At 62.8% G+C, this 19,722-nt stretch overlaps 1 long non-coding RNA gene across 2 annotated transcripts, besides 4 other annotated features; it reads left to right on the top strand.

Moving 5' to 3' along the window:
- Positions 408-983: an enhancer, noted in NCBI's record as "H3K27ac-H3K4me1 hESC enhancer chr22:19713539-19714114 (GRCh37/hg19 assembly coordinates)". NCBI's record gives its function as "activates a minimal SCP1, AML or CMV promoter by ChIP-STARR-seq in primed H9 embryonic stem cells {active_cell/tissue: H9 hESC(primed)}" and the evidence as "EXISTENCE:reporter gene assay evidence [ECO:0000049][PMID:30033119]".
- LOC105372861 (uncharacterized) lies at positions 2,113-13,163 on the top strand. 2 transcript variants are annotated; one of them, XR_938005.3, is made up of 3 exons: positions 2,113-3,092; positions 6,835-7,068; positions 9,079-13,163. It is a non-coding gene; the product is annotated as an uncharacterized LOC105372861 (long non-coding RNA). The 2 variants fall into 2 exon arrangements; XR_007068004.1 differs by lacking the exon at positions 2,113-3,092 and adding an exon at positions 3,721-5,265.
- Positions 5,018-5,312: an enhancer, noted in NCBI's record as "tiled region #13949; K562 Activating DNase unmatched - State 25:Art". NCBI's record gives its function as "activates a minimal TATA promoter and a strong SV40 promoter by Sharpr-MPRA in K562 cells {active_cell/tissue: K562}" and the evidence as "EXISTENCE:reporter gene assay evidence [ECO:0000049][PMID:27701403]".
- Positions 16,890-17,465: an enhancer, noted in NCBI's record as "H3K4me1 hESC enhancer chr22:19730021-19730596 (GRCh37/hg19 assembly coordinates)". NCBI's record gives its function as "activates a minimal SCP1, AML or CMV promoter by ChIP-STARR-seq in primed H9 embryonic stem cells {active_cell/tissue: H9 hESC(primed)}" and the evidence as "EXISTENCE:reporter gene assay evidence [ECO:0000049][PMID:30033119]".
- Positions 17,466-18,039: an enhancer, noted in NCBI's record as "H3K4me1 hESC enhancer chr22:19730597-19731170 (GRCh37/hg19 assembly coordinates)". NCBI's record gives its function as "activates a minimal SCP1, AML or CMV promoter by ChIP-STARR-seq in primed H9 embryonic stem cells {active_cell/tissue: H9 hESC(primed)}" and the evidence as "EXISTENCE:reporter gene assay evidence [ECO:0000049][PMID:30033119]".

The following is a 19,722-nucleotide window of genomic DNA, read 5'->3' on the forward strand; positions in this document are numbered from 1 at the left end:
GGAGGCGGTGAGGGCGCTGTGGGGGCGGTGAGGACGCTGTGGACACTGACGACGCTGGAGGTAACAATGAGGACATTGGGGACAATGAGTACACTGTGGGGGCGGTGAGAACGCTGTGGACACTGAGGACGCTGTGGGGGCGGTGAGGGCGCTGTGGACGCGGTGAGGACGCTGTGGGGGCGGTGAGGACGCTGTGGGGACCGTGAGGACGCTGTCGGGGCGGTGAGGACGCTGTGGACGCGGTGAGGACGCTGTGGGGACGGTGAGGACGCTGTGGGGACCGTGAGGACGCTGTCGGGGCCGTGAGGACGCTGTGGACGCGGCGAGGGAGCTGTCAGGGCGGTGAGGACGCTGTGGACGCGGTGAGGACGCTGTGGACGCGGCGAGGGAGCTGTCGGGGCGGTGAGGACGCTGTGGACGCGGTGAGGGCGCTGTGGGGACGGTGAGGACGCTGTGGACGCTGTCGGGGCAGTGAGGACGCTGCGGACGTTGAGGACGCTGTGGGGGCGATGAGGACGCTGTCGGGGCGGTGAGGACGCTGTCGGGGCGGTGAGGACGCTGTGGACGCGGTGAGGACGCTGTGGGGACGGTGAGGACGCTGTGGGGACCGTGAGGACGCTGTCGGGGCCGTGAGGACGCTGTCGGGGCGGTGAGGACGCTGTCGGGACGGTGAGGGCGCTGTGGACGCGGTGAGGGCGCTGTGGGGGCGGTGAGGACGCTGTGGACGCGATGAGGACGCTGTGGACGCTGTGAGGACGCTGTGGGGGCGGTGAGGACGCTGTGGACGCGGTGAGGACGCTGTGGACGCCGTGAGGACGCTGTGGGGACGGTGAGGACGCTGTGGACGCGGTGAGGACGCTGTGGACGCGGCGAGGGAGCTGTCAGGGCGGTGAGGACGCTGTGGACGCGGTGAGGACGCTGTGGACGCGGCGAGGGAGCTGTCGGGGCGGTGAGGACGCTGTGGACGCGGTGAGGACACTGTGGGGACGGTGAGGACGCTGTGGACGCGGTGAGGACGCTGTGGACGCCGTGAGGACGCTGTGGGGGCGGTGAGGACGCTGTCGGGGCGGTGAGGACGCTGTGGGGGCGGTGAGGGCGCTGTGGACGCGGCGAGGGCGCTGTCGGGGCGGTGAGGACGCTGTGGACGCCGTGAGGACGCTGTGGGGGCGGTGAGGACGCTGTCGGGGCGGTGAGGACGCTGTCGGGGCGGTGAGGGCGCTGTGGGGGCGGTGAGGACGCTGTCGGGGCGGTGAGGGCGCTGCGGACGTTGAGGACGCTGTGGACGCAGTGAGGACACTGTGGGGACAGTGAGGACGCTGTGGACGCCGTGAGGACGCTGTCGGGGTGGTGAGGACGCTGTGGGGGCGGTGAGGACGCTGTCGGGGCTGTGAGGGCGCTGTGGACGCGGTGAGGGCGCTGTGGACGCGGTGAGGACGCTGTGGGGGCGGTGAGGACGCTGCGGACATTAAGGACGCTGTGGACGCGGTGACGACACTGTGGGGACGGTGAGGACGCTGTGGACGCCGTGAGGACGCTGTCGGGGCGGTGAGGACGCTGTCGGGGAGGTGAGGACGCTGTGGGGGCGGTGAGGACGCTGTGGGGGCGGTGAGGGCGCTGCGGACGTTGAGGACGCTGTGGACGCGGTGAGGACACTGTGGGGACAGTGAGGACGCTGTGGACGCCGTGAGGACACTGTCGGGGTGGTGAGGACGCTGTGGACGCGGTGAGGACGCTGTCGGGGCTGTGAGGACGCTGTGGGGGCGGTGAGGACGCTGTGGGGGCGGTGAGGACGCTGTCGGGGCGGTGAGGACGCTCTCGGGGCGGTGAGGGCGCTGTGGACCCGATGAGGGCGCTGTGGGGGCGGTGAGGACGCTGTGGACGCGGTGAGGGCGCTGTAGGGGCGATGAGGAGGCTGTGGACGCCGTGAGGACGCTGTGGACGCGGTGAGGACGCTGTGGGGGCGGTGAGGACGCTGTGGGGGCGGTGAAGATGCTGTGGACGCGGTGAGGGCGCTGTGGGGGCGGTGAGGACGCTGCAGATGTTGACGCTGTGGATGCTGTGGGGGTGGCGAGGGCTCTTTGGACGCGGTGAGGACGCTGTGGGGGCGGTGAGGACGCTGCAGATGTTGACGCTGTGGATGCTGTGGGGGTGGCGAGGGCTCCGTGGACGCGGTGAGTACGCTGTGGACAGTGAGGGTGCTGTGGGGACAGTGAGGATGCTCTGGGGGGCAGTGAGGGCGCTGCGCGGACAGTGAGGGTGCTGTGGGGGCAGTGAGGACACGGTAGACAGTGAGGACGCTGTGGGGGCAGTGAGGATGCTTTGGGGGTGGTGAGAACACTCTAGGCAGTGAGGACAGTCCCAGCAGTGTGTCTCGTCCTCTGAGCATGTTCAGGGGCTGGTTCTTGTGGACAGTGCCGGCCTTGAGGACACCAAGAGCATTTCAAGGGTTGGGTTTCCTGATGCAGGGACTGCGGCGTTGGCAGCATTCAGTTCACTAGGGGAGCGTTGGGGCAGGTGACCAGGGCTGGTTCAGGTCTGTTGCTCCATCCGGGATCCCTGGACCATCCGAATGAGAAGATGGCCTCTATGTGACAGAGTCACATGCGGTGGGGGTTCTTGGAGGGCCCCACAGCGATGAGTGGACCTCAGGGGTTGCAGGGTCTCTGGAATCATTGTGTTCTGGAGTGAACTTGCCCCCCCACAGGCTCCACCAACACCCCCAAACCCTCTTCCTGCCATCCCTCCCCATCCCACAGCAGCGGCCCTGGCCCCAGACCCCTTCTGCCAGGGCTCAGGGCTGGCAGCCTGCTCCTGCCAGCCAAGAGCCGTTCCTGTCCCTGCCCACAGCTGCTGCCTTCCCCAGGCTCCCAGGCTGCACCACACGGGGCCTGCATGTTCCTTCTGACTGGCACAAGGTACTCTCCATGCCACTGCTCCTTGCTCATCTCCTGTGCCTCTGGCGAGTCCCCCACCGGGCCACCACTTCCCTCAGGAAGGCCTCTCCGACTGCCCAGACCAGCAAGGGGCTTCTCAGAGTTCTCCAGTCTCTGGCCTCCCACTGCCCTGCCCGGATTCTGGAGCTGAGCAAACAGGTCAGCACATGGTGCCCAACTTAGGAGGTGACTGACGCCTTCCTCACTATTTGGGCTGGCCTGGGGTGCCAGGGACAGGGTTCCTCTGCCACCGTCCATGTGGCCCCCACCTGTCTGGCCTTATGAACAATGGAAACTATTCTCCATGCATCCCAGAGAGGCCCCAGATGAGGAGCCTCAGGTCCTGGCTGCCCGGCCCAGGAAGGCCCTCAGCCCCCAATGGCCATCACTGACCACCACTGACCGGGTCGGGGAGGCTGCCACTGACATGGCCTTTGTCCTGGCCTTTGTGGGACAAGACAGATGGCCCTCCTGTGGGGCTGATGCTATCTCGAGGCTGCCAGTCAGACGTGAGGCAGGAACCACCCCTGCCTTTGTGAGCAGGTGCAGGGCATCCGGCCCATTGTGGGCTGCAGCCGACTGTGGTTGTCCATCCGGCCTTATCACCACATCGAGGACAGTGGCCCCCTTTATACAAATGAACTGCCCAGCTTGCCCTCCCCAGCGGTGGCCTGGCACCTCCAGAGGTCCTAGTGTAGGTCAGAGGTAACCATCGTCATAACACCGTGCATGTGCAACACTCTAAACTCAGTCCAAGCAGGGCAGGGGAGGGGGTGTGCTCCCCACTTTCTCTAAGAAACCAGATCCCAGAAGGGGGCTCTCTGCTGGGCCCCAGAGCATTTTTTGTGTGAACTGGAAACAGGGCTGAGGCAGGCCTCTTGCATCCCTTCTCTGCCTCACTGAGGTCTTTGGGGTGCAAATGTACAGCCCAGGAGAAAGTGGCCCAGGGTCTTAGGTGGCCCCCAGCCAAGAGAAGGACGCTCCTCTGGTCTGTGGGAAAAGGCCCCAGCAGGAGATAGGGGGAGTGGGCAGCCCACTGCTTGCAAGGCTTGAGGTCTCCTGGGCCAGTGTGTCGCTCAGGGGGTGGCAGGGGGGGCCCTGAAGGGCAGGAGCTGCAGAGGCAGAGGGACTCCTGTTGAGGAAAGCTACTGGAATCACTGTGTGGTTAGACCTAAGGAAGAACTTCCTGCCTGCTGGTCGGCGGGGCAGCCGAACCCTATGATTCCTCCACAATCCCTCCTCTTGCCGGCTCTCCGTGGTTTAGACTGGTTCGTGCCAAGGTACTGACTGTGGAAGGCACAGGGCTTCCCTCGCTGGCTGACCTTCCTTGGCTGCCTGGGAGCCCCCAGTCCCCATGCCTGACTCTGAGCTGACCCTCCACACACTGACCCTGGGGCCTCAGCCTCCAAGGGGTGTGGGGAAGTGAGTAGTCCCAGTTCAGTATACCTGAATGGCCCTGTGGGGACGGGAGAAAGGCACACCCTCCCTGCAGATCTGGGCACCACCTTGATCCCAGCATTGTCCTTCATTTCACAGACAACACACCTGCCCCAGGACCCCCTCCCCACTGATGAGCTGGGCCCCTCTGTGACCTCAGACTCTTCCTTCTAGGCAGGAACAGGTTGGGGGTCCCGTCTCCAAGCCCTGCCTGGACCCCGCACCTCCAGTCCCAGGCTAGCTGATTCAGGGCTCCTTGCCCTGCAGCCCAAGGGCCCTCTCACCACCATTGCCCACCCCACCTCCCTGGGCTCCTGGGATCTCAGCCTTAGGTCAAGGCCCAGCCCTGGTGCACCCTCCCCCATGGGCCAGGCCCTCCATGCCTTTGCCCGCGCCAGTCCCTCCACGGGGCACGCCCTTCCCGCTGTGGCTACTCCTCAATCTTAGAGGCCCCTCCCAAGCCCATTCTCACAGAGCTTCCTAGGCCTGCCCTGGCCTGACACATAGTGCAGGACAGTGTCCAGGCCTGTGTCCCCAAGACCCATCTGGGGTTCAAGCCACATCTTGGGCCTATACACAGCCAGCTAGTGAGTGAGCGAGCGAGTGAGTGAGGCCCTGCAAGATGGTCATCTGTCTTGTCCCGCAAAGGCCAAGACAAACGCCGTGTCAGCGGCAGCCTCTCCAACCCAGTCTGTGATGGCCAGTGGTGGTCAGTGAGGGCTGGGCCGCGAGGCTCACAGCTCAGGCCGCACCCGCCGGTTTCACAGACCGGCCAGGAAGCTCCCAGGGCGAGGGCCTAGTCGTGTCCTCCCCATGGGCGAGCAACCCTAGGCAGGCACCAGAGGGCGCTCGCGGTCTGCAGAAAACGCTGGCTAAGGGGGGAGCGCGGAAAGAGGTGGGCACTGTGGGTGCAGACAGCTGGGGTCCGCGGAGAAACGAAGGCCTGGAGCGGGGGCGCTGGGTTGTCCAGGCTGGCGGCGAGCTGCACCGAGTGGGACGGGCAGGCTGCCCCTAGTGAGGGCGGGGAGGGTGTCGCCGCGTGGCGGCTGACAGACGGGGCGGGATGAGCGTAGCCCCCGCCCCTGCCCTGGTGCACTGACAGCCTGTCAGCCGGGAAGATAAGGGACTTCTTCCGCTGGGCGTGGGGTGGGGGTCAACCCAGGTGCGCTGTCCCCCTCCCGCTGGTGTTTGCTCGGTAAACACTTATTGGGCCCCGGGCTGTGCACACCGCCGCGGGGGAGGGGCGGGCGACCTGAAGGCCTGGACTCCATGGCCTCTGCCAGGGATGCCGGGTCCATGGGCCATCAATGATGCAGGAAAAGAGGCTCTGTCACCTCTGGCCCCGCCTGGAGAGAGTTGCCTGTGGGGTCCTTCGTGGGCCCCCTCCAGCCTGGGGTGGCCCTAGCCTCAGCTTCAGAGCTGGGCTGACCCCCGACTAGCCGAGGCATTAATGGGGCCCCGTGGAGGAGGTCCTGGGAAGGTCTGGGGAGCTGAAGTCCTGGCCACGTGGGGGGGACTGCACCCCCTGCCCAGACGGAGCAACAACATTGGGGTGGGTGGCGGGGCCCTGGGGGCCCATAGCTCAGCGCAGCGTCTGCGCCCACCCCCTGTGTTTCCGATGGAAGACAGGCTGAAGGTGATAAATCACCAGGTCCCACCCCCACCCACCCTGCCAACGGGTGGGGAAGGGGGGCTGCATGTGACAGAGATGGGGACCGAGACAGAGATGGGAGCCAGGTCTAGAGGAGAGACCAGAGACAGTGGCACTGTGGTGGCCCCGTTGACACGGGCCAGGACCCTTGCTTGGGTGTCTGGCCTCCCCGCTCTGGGCGCCCCTTCCACAAAGCCCATCTGGAAACCAGCTGAGAGCCACCGTACCCCCACCCCGGCTGACCCCCAACAGGGAGGTAGAGGAGGGAGGGAGACCTTTGCAGCCATAACTCCGTCCCCCGCCTGCCCGCCCCCAGGAGGACCATAAATCAGCAGGGGCTCTCAAAGCACTACCTCCACAGGCTGAAGGGAGGGCTTCAGGGCCACTGGTCTTAGGGACTAGGCCTGTCCTTGGCTGTGTCTGTCCCTCTTTAAACAGCCCTCAGGCTGAGGCAGGCATATCACTTGAGGCCAGGAGTTCAAGACCAGCCTGGCCATCATGGTGAAACCCTGCCTCTACTAAAAATACAAAAATTAGCCGGGCGTGGTGGTGTTGGGCACCTGTAATCCCAGCTACTCTGGAGGCTGCAGGGGGAGGATGGCTTGAGCCCAGGAGGCAGAGGTTGCAGTGACCCCAGATCACGCCACTGCACGCCAACCTGGGTGACAGAGCTAAACTCTGTCTCAAAAAAATAAAATAAAAATAAACAGCCCTGAGGGGAACCCCAGTGGCCCCCACACCCAGCACAGTCGAACTGACTGAGCACTGTCTACACTGGATGTACACACTCACATCCTCACTTTCTCTCTCCAGACAGGAAACGTCTGCAGGGAGCAACTCTGTGTCCTCATCAGGAGACCCCCTGTTGCTGGCCCCTCAGGAACTAGGGATCAGCATGTCCTACCCAGTGAAGCCCTCCTGGGGGTCTTCTCTGCCCATAGGAAATGCCTCCTTCTATCCTGTCTTCCTGTCACCACCACCCCCCAGGGTACTGAGGGCCAGCTGGACAAAAGGTGGTGAGAGATGGGCCAGGTGGATCCCCCGCAGGTGAGCGCACCCCACACACATACACACAGGGCAGGTGCAGAGTCAGTACCCAGTGGGAGAGGCTTGAGAGGGCCTGGGGGAGTGCTCCCTGGAGCTGTGGGGTGTGCTCAGCAGCCTAGTTCTAGCCGGGCCGGCCTCAGCAACCCCTGTCCAGGGTCTAGCCTACAGACATTCCCAGGGTTCCCGTGGTGGGCATAAGGGCATTGTACACAAGGAAACACAGATGTCCACCGTGACATCACCCCAGCTTGTCTCAAAGAGCCGTGGGGTTGGGGATGAGGGCTGCTTCTTGTCTAGAAAGACCTTCAGAGATGTTGGAATTCTGTGCCTGAGACAGGCACTGACTGTCACTGGGCTGGCCTGGGCCTGGTTACCTGGACTGTCGCCTTCATCCTCAGAGCAAACCCTTGAGTCTAGCACTAGCGATGTCTCAGGGGAGGGTTCAGAGTGTGCAGCAGCTGGAAGTGTGCTCAGCTCAGCCTGTAGGAGGGTCTGGCTTTTCCAGAATGTCCCAGGGAGAAGAGCGCAAGGGGAGTAGGGTGCTGGGGTGTGCAGGGGAGCCCATCTCCCGTCATCCATTCACGTTCAATCATTCATACCAGTGTGCAGACCTGTCTGGAGCCTGCCGGCTGCCAGGGTCAAGGGCTGGGGGGGTGCAGATCCCTTGGCCCCAGACCCCCACCTGGCAGAGGCACTTCACTCCTCTTCCATCCCTCCTGAGAGGGCCAGCTCCCTCCTCCCCGCACTGGGATTCCCCCTAGTACGAAGTCCTCTGGGGCTCACCTAGGTGTATTTAAGCATGTCTGACAAATTGAGGGACTCCAGGCCTAACAGACTGGAAATGGGCCGGGAAGGCGAGGGCTCACTCAACCACAGGGACCAGTCTGCCCTGCCCTTCCCAGGCCGCCCAGGTGTGACTCTCTCCACTCTCTTTGTCCCAGCCACGCAGGACCTTAGGGCCAGCCCTGCAAGGTCACTGCACTCCTGGTGGGGTACAGGAACCCTCAAAGATGGGAGGATCTGGAAGGGAAGCCATTGAACTTTGCCTGATGGACCCATGGGATGTGGGGGCACAGACCCCAGCTGGGCACCAGCAGGTCCCCATTTGGCTGGACCATGTTGACAGAATTAGGGTGCCCACTCCTGGGAGGAAAGCCTCAGTCTATGGCTGGAGGTCCAGTGAGCCAGGGGTGAGGGTCCCAGGGCAGCATCAGCCCACAGAGCAGACCAAGGCTTCTGCCAACTGCATTGCACCATGTGGCAGCTGTACCTGCCAGTCAGGGGATCCCAAGCTGGGGTGGGGCTTCAAGGAGGTGCCTACGGGCAGATCCAGGGCCGAGCTCTGCCCGGGTGTCTGCTTCAAAATCTATTTTGATGTGCTTTGTATTTGGGGAGTTGCTTTTCTCTATGCTTTGTTTATTTAAAGATGCTATTGAAGAGTTCCAGCCAAACTTTGTAAATGCCGAGGAACGGGCTGCTGTCTGAGCAGGGCTGGGGAGGGTAGGAGCCCCTGACAGCCGCCTGTCCCAGCATGCCCACCCCGTGCCCTTATTGCCCACTGAAGGTGCTCGCGCGGCACCAACTGCACTGGCTTCCTCCAGGAGGGTAGCCTGGGGGCTAGGGCCAGAGAGGCACCAGTACGCAGAGCAGTACGTGAGGCCAAGGACCTGGTCACTCTGAGACCAAGCAGGTTCCAGGCATCTATGCTGAGGGGAGTGGGAGACCACTGACTTTCTTTGTGGCAAAAGTGGGGATGGACCTGTTTGTGTGAGCTCAGGGCCTCTCTTGGCACTAAATGCCTCTCTTGGCCACCCTCTGCCCTGGGGTCCTTGGCATGGGACTCTCTGGTATGGGAATCCCAGGTCTATGGAATGTTAGTCTATGAGTCCCTGGTCTGGGGTTCTGAGCCTGAAGAGTCCTGCTCTGGGTGTCTCAGGTCAGCAGGTCTCTGACAGGTGTCTGCTCAGGGTCCATAGTCTAGGGGTCAGTGATCTGGCCTTTTCTCCCCAGGGGTGCCAGGTGCCGTGTGCTGCCATGGATGTCTCTGGGATATCAGTCAGCCCCTTCTCTGTTGGCCAAGGAGCCACTGCTAACAGGAGTTGTCCCAGAGGGTCACACTCTTGAGTCTCTTGTGGCAAGGTCAACAGGAGGACCATCTGGAGCACGGAGAGCATCCCCAGATCATAGGCAGAAGGGTGTTTCCTGCTAAGGCCAGCCAGAAGACTCCACAGACCTCCCAAGTCCTGGCTAGACTCAATCCTGCTGTTATAAGTCTCCCTGGGTCCTCCCTGAATCCTCCCAGAGCCCTCCCTGAATCTTCCCAAAAGCTCCCTGAACCCTCCCCAGGTTGTCTCCTGGAGTCCTCCCAGTCTTTCCTGGATCCTCTCCACATCCTCCCTGAGTGCTCCCAGAATCTTCCTGCAGTCCTCCCCATGTTCTCTCAGGCGTGGGCTGCTGTACCTGGATTGGCCCTAGCAGGTGACTCGGGCTGGAGTTTGGTTGACACCAGTGGAGCCACAAGCCTGCTGTGCACAGGTGTGATGGCAGGCCTGTGAGGGTTCGGGGCTGCATGGCCTTGCTCCCTTTGCACTGGTGTCTGGATGTGCTCAGAGGCCCCCTGGGTCCCCAGGCCTCTGGGACAAGGCCGGTTGAGTCTCAAAAACAGGTAGGACCCCAAGCAGAGCCAAGGCATCACCAGCCCCAGCCCTTGTTCCCGTGTGCCCCATCTCCCGAAGCACTCCCCTGTGTCATGCGGTACCAGCTCTGCCTCTGACTCCCCATGCAGTGGCCCTAAGGCCACCCCTTGTCAGTGTCCTCCTGGGCCTCCTGGGGCGGGCAAGAACCTGCTCACACAGGTACATGCACAGCAAGCATCGGAGGGTCTCCTTCCCTGGGAGACATCACCGCCCCACAGTGGGTCACCCTCAAGGCTAACCACTCAGCTTCCGGGTGGCAAGCCTGCAGAGTGGCCCCAGGCATGCCGGGCCACCTTCTAAGTGTGCCAGTCCCACCCTGTGTGTGTGTGTGGATGTGCCAGAGATGTGCAGTCACACTTCCATCTGTGTCCCATGCCCCCATGAGTGTGTCCTCACACCTCTTGCCCCGCCTCCCTGCTGTGTGCCCCTCGTAGCAGCTTGGCCCTGCCCGCTGCACCATGTGTACACAGAGGCTTATTTTCTCTGCCTTTCGGGCCAGGGGCGTGCTCGTAAATTGTGCAGTCGACGACACATTTATCCCGCGGGCGGCTGGCGGTGTGAATTTATGGCTGCACCCCCTTCCTGGCTGAGGCAGGACAGGGGCCGGGATACCTCTCAGGCAGGAACCTCCAGTCCACTCCACTGGGCTGTTGTGGGGCCATGGGGGCGGGCTGGGCCGGGAGGGCTTAGGAGTGCTCCCAAGGTCTGGTCTTGCACAGAAACCCTGCAACTTCAGGGTGCTTGGGGCAATGAGAGGCGAGGCCACTCTGCCTGGGTGAGGGCTGGGGGCACAGTGGCTGCCCACGTGCCAGAGGCATGGAGGCCCAGAGCCCAGCCTAATGTCCCAGCCTCCATGCCCCCTTCCAGTCGGCTTCTCATCTTCCCACCTAAGAAAGAGGGGACAACTTGGATGCCCCAGGGACAGCAGGTGTGGGGGTGGCTCCCCTCAGGTGCTGAGTCAGCCACCCACTGCCACTAGGCCCACTGGGAGTACTGAGATCTGGGGAGGACTGTCAGAAAGGGTGGGGGCCTCGAGGGCAGCTGGGGCTGCACACAGGGAAGAGGAGCGGAGATACTGTCGAATCAGAGCAGAGAGCCCCTCAGAGCTCACCTGCCCTCCTCTGCCTTGTAAAGATGGGGAAACTGAGGCCCAGGGAGAGCAGAGGTCCCAGGTCACATGGGTAGGATAACAGAGCCTCAAGATCCTGGATTCCTGCTCCCTAGTATGCAATAAAGGGGGTCCTAGGCACACCCCTCCCCACGGAGCCACCTTTGTCCTGCAAAGTCTGGAGGTGGGGCCTCCGGCTGAAGCCTCAACAGGGAGCTGATGGAGCAAATTGGCAAGCTGGTCCCATCAGGGCCACAGCTGGGGCCTGGGACCTGGCTGCCTCCCCTCCGTCCGTCGGTCTGTCTGTGTGCAGGGTCGGGTCTCCAGGGGACCCTCTGTCGGCTCTCAAGCTCCCTCCCATCTCGGCCCCAGCCCCCCCTCACCGCCCGCTGTCAGGATGAGCGATGGCCGTGCCCCTCCCCGGCCCTCGGCCCCAGGCCCGGTTCCCGCTCATTAGCCACTGACACTGTTTGCTTTCCCGCCATGGACGCCCACCCCGTCACAGGCCATTTCTCCCGGCGCCCCCCACCCCTGAGGACCTGCCCAGGGGTCCAGGGTGCCGGGTCGAGGGGACTGCCGGGTGCCAGGCAGGACCTGCATTATGCTCCCGGAGCAATGGCCACATGGAGTGCCGGCCCCACCCTCACCTGCACCCCAAGAGACGGGGAGCCACGGGCCACCCTGAGTCTCCCATGGCCCTGCCCACATCACACAGGCCAGACACAGCCGCCGTGAGACTGGGCCGTGCCTCGCAGCTTGGATGGCTTGGTGCTGCACACACTGGGAGGGTCTCTGATGACAAGTACCTGGCCCACTGCACCTATCTCTGTCTCTCTTTATCACTGCCCCTATTTCTGTCTTTGTCTCTCTCCTTGGTCTCTGCCCCTAGCCCCATCCTGTGGAATGACCACTGAGCCAGCAGCCCATTCAGAAAGTACATCCCTCACCTGGAGCCCCTCTGTCCCCTCAGGCAGCCCCAGTACACAGCCTGGGGGGTGGGTCCTGAGGCAGCAGGCACCCCTCCCTCCTGCACCACCCCCGCCCCCAATATGGCCACAGCTGGGCGGCATCAGGGCCCGCAGGCCAGTGGCAGCCAGTCCTTCACTTAAAAATGTGTTTGTGATTTCGGCAGCGAGGCAGATAACGGTGACGAATGGCCCGCCTGCCCCCCAGGGCCCTCAGCCCATCTGGTTTGACTTTGGCCTGTCGGCAGTGCCCTTGGGCCTCACTCCTGCCCTCTGGCAGTGCCCTCCGAGTGAGGCACCCCTCAACCTTTGCACACTCTGGTTCCTTTGCTGGAAATGCCCCTCCTCTCCACCCATCTGTCCCCCCATCATGGGCTCCCCTGGCTATGCCCATAGGAGCCACCCATGCAACACTCGGGGTGGCAGGTCCTGGGCAGTGCTGGGGTTTGCAGGGTGGGGGAGGGCACAGGCCCAGCAGGGAGGGGGCATGCCTTGCCTGGGCCCTGCATCCCCTCTGTCTAGGAGGGAATAGTGAGTGCCCACCTAAGGCCAGAGGGGCCGAGGCTAAGGTGACGGAGTGGGCCAGGACCGAGAGAGGTGGCCCGGCGGCCAGGGCAGGGCCTAGCCCTGTGAGACAGCCCATGTGGTCATTGTCAGGAGGAATTTCTGACAGGGCTCGGGACCCTCCTGACCATCGATTATCCAAGCAGGAGGAGTGGCTTCCGGGTCCGGCTGTGGGCTCAGCTGGGAGGTCACTGAGGTCAAGCCCGAGTGCCCCTCCTCCTCCAGTCTCCCCTTCTACTCCCTTGGGGCTCCCCAGTTGGGCAGAGGTGCCTGGAAGGTTGCTCCTGCCCAGTTTGAATCCTGGCCAGCTACCACAGGGAGTGGTCAGGGGTCCACTAGGGACTGGAGCTCATGCATTCCTTAGCACAACTTCCCAATCAACCCCTGCGTGCCCAGGTCACAGACGGAGTCAGACCTGGCCCTCAGAGAGGAGATAAGGAGAGGTGGAGGTGCTTAGAGCTCCCCTGGCCCATCTCAGGGGTTGGGGAGGGGCTTGTGTAGAGGGAGGGCATTCGGGCAGGATAGAGGAGGCAGCCCTCCCTGGGGGTCTGGGGTCGCCTCCAGGAGAGGCACTGCTCCATTCCCCACTGCACCCTCCAGGCCCACTCCCTGCCCTGTGGCGAGGACAGCTGTAGGGGGAGGGGAGGGGCAGCGCCGTGTCAGGACCCCCACCCCCTCCTCCAAAGCAGGAAAATCCCTCTCCGTTAGTATCACATTGTTGAGAATTAACTTTGTTGAAATAAAAATTGGTCGTGGTATTAACTCGGCCTCAAGGATTTTCTCTGGGATCCTGGAGGCCGCAGAGGGGTCAGACGCCCATTCCCAGGGCCAGCCGCTGGCTCGGGTTTCGGGGACTCCAGCGACCTCAGATCCTTGGGACACGGTGCCTGGTTCCTCCGGGTTGAGGGAGCCACCCCAGTCCTGCCTTCTACAGCCCCGGACACGAAGGAGGACGGCCCAGACAGTGTGGGTCTTAGGCATCCATCTGTGCCCCTCCCCCATGTCTCCGTGTCACTTGCAGCCATGGCTGTTGAGCCACAAGATGCCCCTCCCGCTCCTCAGGGGTCAGCCACGGCCTTAGTTTCCCCACATGTAAAATGGGAGCTTCACCCCAGCACAGGGTGTGGGGGGCCCTGGGCACAGACAGGCAGCCGGATGCTCAGACACCCCAGAAACCTGGGGCGGGCACGGGTAGGGACAGACCCACCCAGGTCTCTCCAGAGGGCACCAGGTGGCCACACAGGCACTCCTGGCCTCAGCACAGCCTCGCTGGCCACAGAAAGAAGTTGGCACCCCCGACTGTCTGCCAGCAGGGCGTGGGCACTTGCTCCCAAGGAAGCAAGCAGAGAGCCCACGCGTGCTGCCAAGAAGGGACGGCAGCCCTCAAACGACACGATTCCACACAGACAGATCCGCGCAAAACTGCTCTGAGAATTGCTGGGGTCCCGCCCCCCCGCCATGGTCCCTGCTGGACAGGGGGCGTGAGCACTGCCGAGTTCCCACGCCCCCACTCTGGAGTGTGTATTCCTACAGAGGGAGTGCCCACGGACAGAAGCACAAGGGATGGAGGTGGGGCCTCCTCAGGGCCTGCGGGTGGCTGGTCCTGCGTCCCGGTAGCCAGGGGACAGGCGAGACCTCCCAGCCGGTGGTCCCCTGGAAGCCTCCTCTGCTCACATCCCAGGCAGTGTGTTTTCGGGGGTGGGGTGCAGCCTGGGAACGGGCTGGTTCGGGGGCCTGGGAACGAAGGCAGGGGCCCCTGGCGGGGGATGCACCAGTGGGCCCAGCTGTTGCTGCCTGGCTCCAATTCCCACTCTGCACCAAGGCCTGTCCCTGGGGCCAAGGCTGGTGGTCTGCCTGGGAGGGAGTGAGGGGGTGTGGGGGCCATATCTTCCTCCAGTCAGTGGTCCCTGGGCAGTAGAGGTAGGAGAGAACCGCCTTCGAGCTGAGTGGCAGAGCCCACAAGCAGGGGGTGCTCTCCTGTCTCCCCAAGCCCAACTGCAGCAGGTCCCAAAGCCTGCTCCGAGCATGGAATCACCCTGAGGCCCCATCCCCTCACCCAGCACCCAAGCCCACCTCCTCCCTGGGCCTGTGTTGGCGGACCAGGGCCTCCATTATACACCATGAGCCTGGCGCCAGCCCAAGCCCTCCAGGCCTCTGCTGTGGCTGCTCCTCCTGTCGAGGGAGCCTTTGCACCAGGGCCATCCTAAAACTCCTACTTAACCTTCAAGACCCCATGCAAGTGTTCCTGCCCCAGGACCCCACCCCGAATACTGGGCCCTGCACCCAGCTGGTGTCATTCTCTTTACAAGACTCCTGATGCCCCTCATCTGGCACAAGGCTGGACACCAGAGTGGGGGGTGCACATTTCCACCTCCAGGAGCAAAAAAGGCTGACTCCTCAAGGAGGCCTCCTTCCCAATGCCTCAGTTTCCCCATCTGAACTGTCCTTGGCTGACAGTATCCATGGTCCTATGGGAGCAAGTGTGAACTCTGGGCAGGAACCAAGGCCAGTGTTCTAAGCAGGGTGGAGGGACCCTGAAGAGGACAGGCCAACTGGGGGCTCCTCCAAAGCAGGAGAGTGGGTGCCCAGCCAGCCACCCCACAAACATTTGGCTGGCTTCAGCTGAGGCCAAGGGAAGGCAGAGCTGCTGGCAGGGTGGGGGCCAGAGCGGGATTCTTCTTACTCCTAAAATCCCTCCCGCCTGCCCAGCGGGCCCCGAGGGAAGCCCCATGATGCGGGAACCTGATATTTTAAGACTTAAAGCAAATGTTTCTGGAGCCCGAGCTGGGCCTCGGCGCCCGCCCGGGCCTTGTGGGGGCAGGGCCAGCGAGGAGGAGAGGACCCCTCCCCTGAACCAATCCTGCCCCTCCCTGGACTGCAGTTTCTGGTGACAGGCAGGGGCAAGGCTGGAACCCCTTGGGCACCTTAAGGTTCCCCGAAACCTGAGGGTGGGGGCCCCGTTGTCGGCTCTCCGCTCTGCTGGTCCCTCTCTCGGCTGCCAGCATCAGATGAGGCTCACTGAGAGCCCTGAACCCCTCTAGGGCTGGCTTTGCCTGACCCAGAGCCCAGGGATACTCCCTTTCTTACCACTAGCAGGGTGGGCGTGTACAGGTGCTGCTTTTGAGCCACTGGCAGGAGCCACTTGGAGCTCAGAGCTGACACCTGAAGCTTCCTATCTGAGAGGACAGGAGATCTGGGACTGACTGGCGATGTCTGCCTGGGGTGTTGCAGGATTCCTGCGCTTGGAACCGCAGCAGATGGGATCTTGCTCTGTCGCCCAGGCTGGAGAGCAGTGGCACAATCACAGCTCACTGCAGTCTTGAACCACTGGGCTCAATGGATCCTCCCACCTCAGCCTCCTGAGTAACTGGGACCACAGACACACACCACCGTGCCTGGCTAATTTATTTTTTTATATTTTGTAGGTGGGATCTTGCGATGTTACCCAGGTTGGTCTCGAACTCCTGACCTCAGGTGATCCTCCCTCCTCAGCCTCCCAAAGTGCTGGGATTATAGGCGTGAGCCATGGCACCTGGCCATGATAGGGTTTTTTTCTCTATATATAGAAGGGACTCCCCATCGCTTGGACCATAGGGCAGTCTGACACTCGGCTGAGGCTGAGTGAAGCTGGCCTGGGCTCAGGGGCATGAGTTCCAGGCTCCAGGCCCCACACTGGTGCCACCTCCTTCTGGGAGCCTCCTTGGGGGCCTTTGAGAGCAGGAGCATCACAAGTGGAGGGGTGACTGGGTCAGGGACAGCAGAGCAGGGAGGCAGGGGCCGTGTTGGGCAGTGAGGAATTAAGGCCTAATAATGAAGGCTGTATCTCCAAAAAATGTTTCGGAGGCAGGGCCATCCGGGCCCAGCTGGGAATGTGGGGGTGTAGGGGAGAGACGTTCTCCAGGTTCTCCCAGAACAGGCCATCCTAAGGACCCAGCCAGCCCAGTATCCAGCCCAGCCCTCCAAGCACTTGGCACCAAGGCCCTTCCTTGTCTGCTCTCAGCTGGTGGGGCTGGGCCAAGCTCCTACCCACTAGCTGACAAGCCTCCTCTGGACCATGTCCACATTTTACAGATGGGGAAACCAAGGGCCAGGGTGGGAACAGTGCTTCCAGAGAGCCTACAGCTGGCCTGGCTGTGTGGACCCTTCCTCACCACCCCTGAGGTCCTCCTGCCTCAGTCTGGAGGAGGGACGGAGCTCTGGCCAGCTGTTTGGGTTCGTGCAGACCTGAGCGTGAGTCCACCTCGGCCATGTCCCGCCTCCAGGCACTGTCTGCTCACCTGAAGCTCTGGCTGTCTCATGGGGCCTTGGAGGGTGTCACCACCTGACTTTGGTCTGCTCCTCGCTGGTCCTACTGCCCTGGTGGACTCCTGTGCACCCTTGAAACCCACTGGAATCCTGCCTAAATCGTGAGCCCAGGAATGCCCCCCACTTCCTAGCTCCAGCGCAAGCACTCAGCAACCCTCCCCTGACGGGGAATTCCTTGTCCATTGCCCCCAGGAAACCCACCAGCCCCCGCCTCGGGCAGTCCCAGGCTTGGCCCCGCCACTTACCTCACTGGACAGTCTTGGACTCACGCTGTGAGGACAGACACATGACGTCACGCCGCCTTAGTTTCCCCAGCTCTGAAATGGAGATGGTAAATGTTGGGTGGGTGTTAAGGCCGGGTGTCCTGAGCTGCCCAGAGGAAGGGCAGCTGGCAGGAGAGCTAGGGGTGGTGCCCACCCTGGGCCTCTGCAGCACCACTTCCCACTTTAGGGGCCCAGATGCCATCCGCAGATCCTTGGTCCAGCCTCTCACTAGGCCTGGAAGCCAGGCTGCCGCTGTGGGTAGACTCCTGCCAGGCTGTGGGGGCTGGGGAAATGTGCCCAGCGGTGGCTGAAGCCAGGTTGCCTGGGGAACCAGTGCTCCCCAGGGGGCCTACTGCTGCCTCCAAGGCCCCATAACACCCCTGTCCACAGCTCCACCCAAGCTCCCATTGCTTTCCCTCAGCATTTTCTTTCATCCTTTGGGCCTCAGTTTCCCCACATGTGTCTCGGGAAATGACAGATGGCAGATTTGGGGGCGAGGAGAGGAGAGGGTATCCAGGCACTTTGTTAGGATTGAGGTGGAAAGAAGAGGTGGTCAGTGGAACATGGGGCGCCAGGGTGGGGAGGAAGGCCGCAAGATCCCCATCTGTCCCCTCCAGAGGCAGAGTGAGGTTAGGGCCTCACCAGACCAAGTGGAGGAGCCAGGATTTGAATGGGGGGCAGGATGCCGCCATGTGGGTGGAGGCTCCCTGTGCCTGGGGCCTGAGTGCTGGCCACCACCTGCTGTCTGGCGTCCTCTCCAATCCACACTGGCCCTCAACCCCTGTCCCAGGCTCTGGTTCCCCACCTGTCAGGTGAGGTCCTTTTGAGCCCACGGCACTGGGGCGGTCTGGGTGGAGTCCCTGCCCCCTCCCAGCCTCAGGCAGCATCCCAGGCACACACAGCTTGCTTCCCAGGCCTCTTTGAGGAAGGTCAACGGCCGAGAACTAAGGCTAGGGATCACCGGAAACCTGTCCCATCCTCGCCCCCAGACCCTCTGACCGCAGAATCTCCTGTGGGGCTGTACCCTGGGTCCCCTCCCAGGCCTGTGACCCGGCCAGAGGCTGGAGGCAGACAGGCTCAAAACCAGGCCCCCTCCTCAAAGCCTGTGGAAGCCCATGAGATGTCCCCCAGCACCCCAGGGTGGAGCTCACCCACCTGTCCACAAGCAAAGGCAGGCGAGGGCAGGAGGTGGCAGTGAGGCCAGGCCCAGGGATGACCTGGCACTAGGCCCAGCCCCTACCCACAGCCCCCCTCTGCCCATCCCCAGCCCCCTGGCCCAGCTTGGGCACCCAGGCTCCAAACCAGAAAAACTAGACGGAGAGCAAACAAGCCCACGGTGCAGACTCCCATGTCTAGTGGACCAGTGTGGGCAGGGCCTTGGAGCTGGGGTTCTGCCCCGGCAGAGCCCTGAGAGCCAGGGCAGGAGTGATAGGCCCATCCAACCCTGAGTTCAAGGCCTGTCCTACCAGGCACCCCACGTTGGCCCTGTGCATCCCTCAGTGGAGGGGGATTTCCACCCACCAGCCTGCAAAGTGAGCACTGCCATGCCAGCTGCCCCAGATGCCACAGGCTGCTTCTGGGGAGTGGGCTTCTCATCACTAGGGGTGTGCAAATGGTGCCAGCAGCCACGGCAGGCTGGCCGGGTAGGACTGATTCCCCAAGGTTCTGTTCAGAGTCCCTGGACCCAAGACTCCAGAGCCTAAGGCTCTGGAATTCTGTCCCCTGAGATGGTGACATGTTTCACAGTGGGCACAGTGGTGCGCACGTCATAGGGGCCGGACAAACACCTGCTTATTCAATCAGCACACACCTCAGTGGGGTCCAGGGGTGGCTGGGTGCCTCAGGCTCATTGCCCTTCACCTTCCCCTCCACCAGCCCTCCCCATTCCCTCTCTAAGGGTCAGGCCGACCACTGCAGCCTGCAGTGCCTCACACAGGTCTCTCCTCCCCAGGAGTCGCTGTTCTTGCCCCAGGACCCTTGCACAGGGTCACCACTGGAAACCGGGGAGGGTCCATCTCTCCCGGGTCTGCTTGGTATTTTCCAGTGTATTCGCAGATTCTTAGCATGACACTTCCACTCGGCAGAAAGGACAGGGAGAGAAGGCTGTGCTTTAGGGCGACGGCAGCAGGGCCAGCTGGTGAGAACCATGCACAAGGGTGGCTGGCAGAGGGATGTGACATGGGCTCCCAAACAGGCCAGGGGACCTGAGGCCCAGGATGCCACCTGAGAGGCTGGGGAGGGCAGCTGAAGGAGGGAGGGGGCAGGGACTCCCCCCGGGGCCAGCCCACCTGCTGTTCTCGCAGCCCTGGGCCCAGTGATGTGGGGCTCAAGGGGGCCTCACCTGGAGGTCAGTTGGGGAGCTAGAGGCCGGGACAGGAGCTGAGGGCCAGAGGGGACTCCGGAGAACACTGGATCAAGTGCCATCAGCTGGGCTAGTTGAAGAGTTTTGTGAGGGTTTTTGTTTGTTTGTTTGTTTGTTTGTTTTTGCGGGAGGGGTGGAACAAGGACCAGCATGCAGGGCAAGATGAGGCCTGAGGGTGGAGGGGACAGAAGAGCCCTGCCGGGACAAGGGACACAGGGACATCGGTTAGGTTTGGACCCATGCACAAGGGCTCAGCCACGCTGCCAGTGCCAGACTGGCCCCCCTTCCTGGGGCGTGGCAGCACATTCAGTTATGGGCACAGGCAACGGCAGGGGCCAGGGCTGCCTCGAGCAGGGGAGGCTGGGCACCCAGCTGTCCTGTGAGGACACAC

The sequence above is a fragment of the Homo sapiens genome, chromosome 22 (genome assembly GCF_000001405.40).
Source record: "Homo sapiens chromosome 22, GRCh38.p14 Primary Assembly".
NCBI classification, from domain to species: domain Eukaryota; kingdom Metazoa; phylum Chordata; class Mammalia; order Primates; family Hominidae; genus Homo; species Homo sapiens.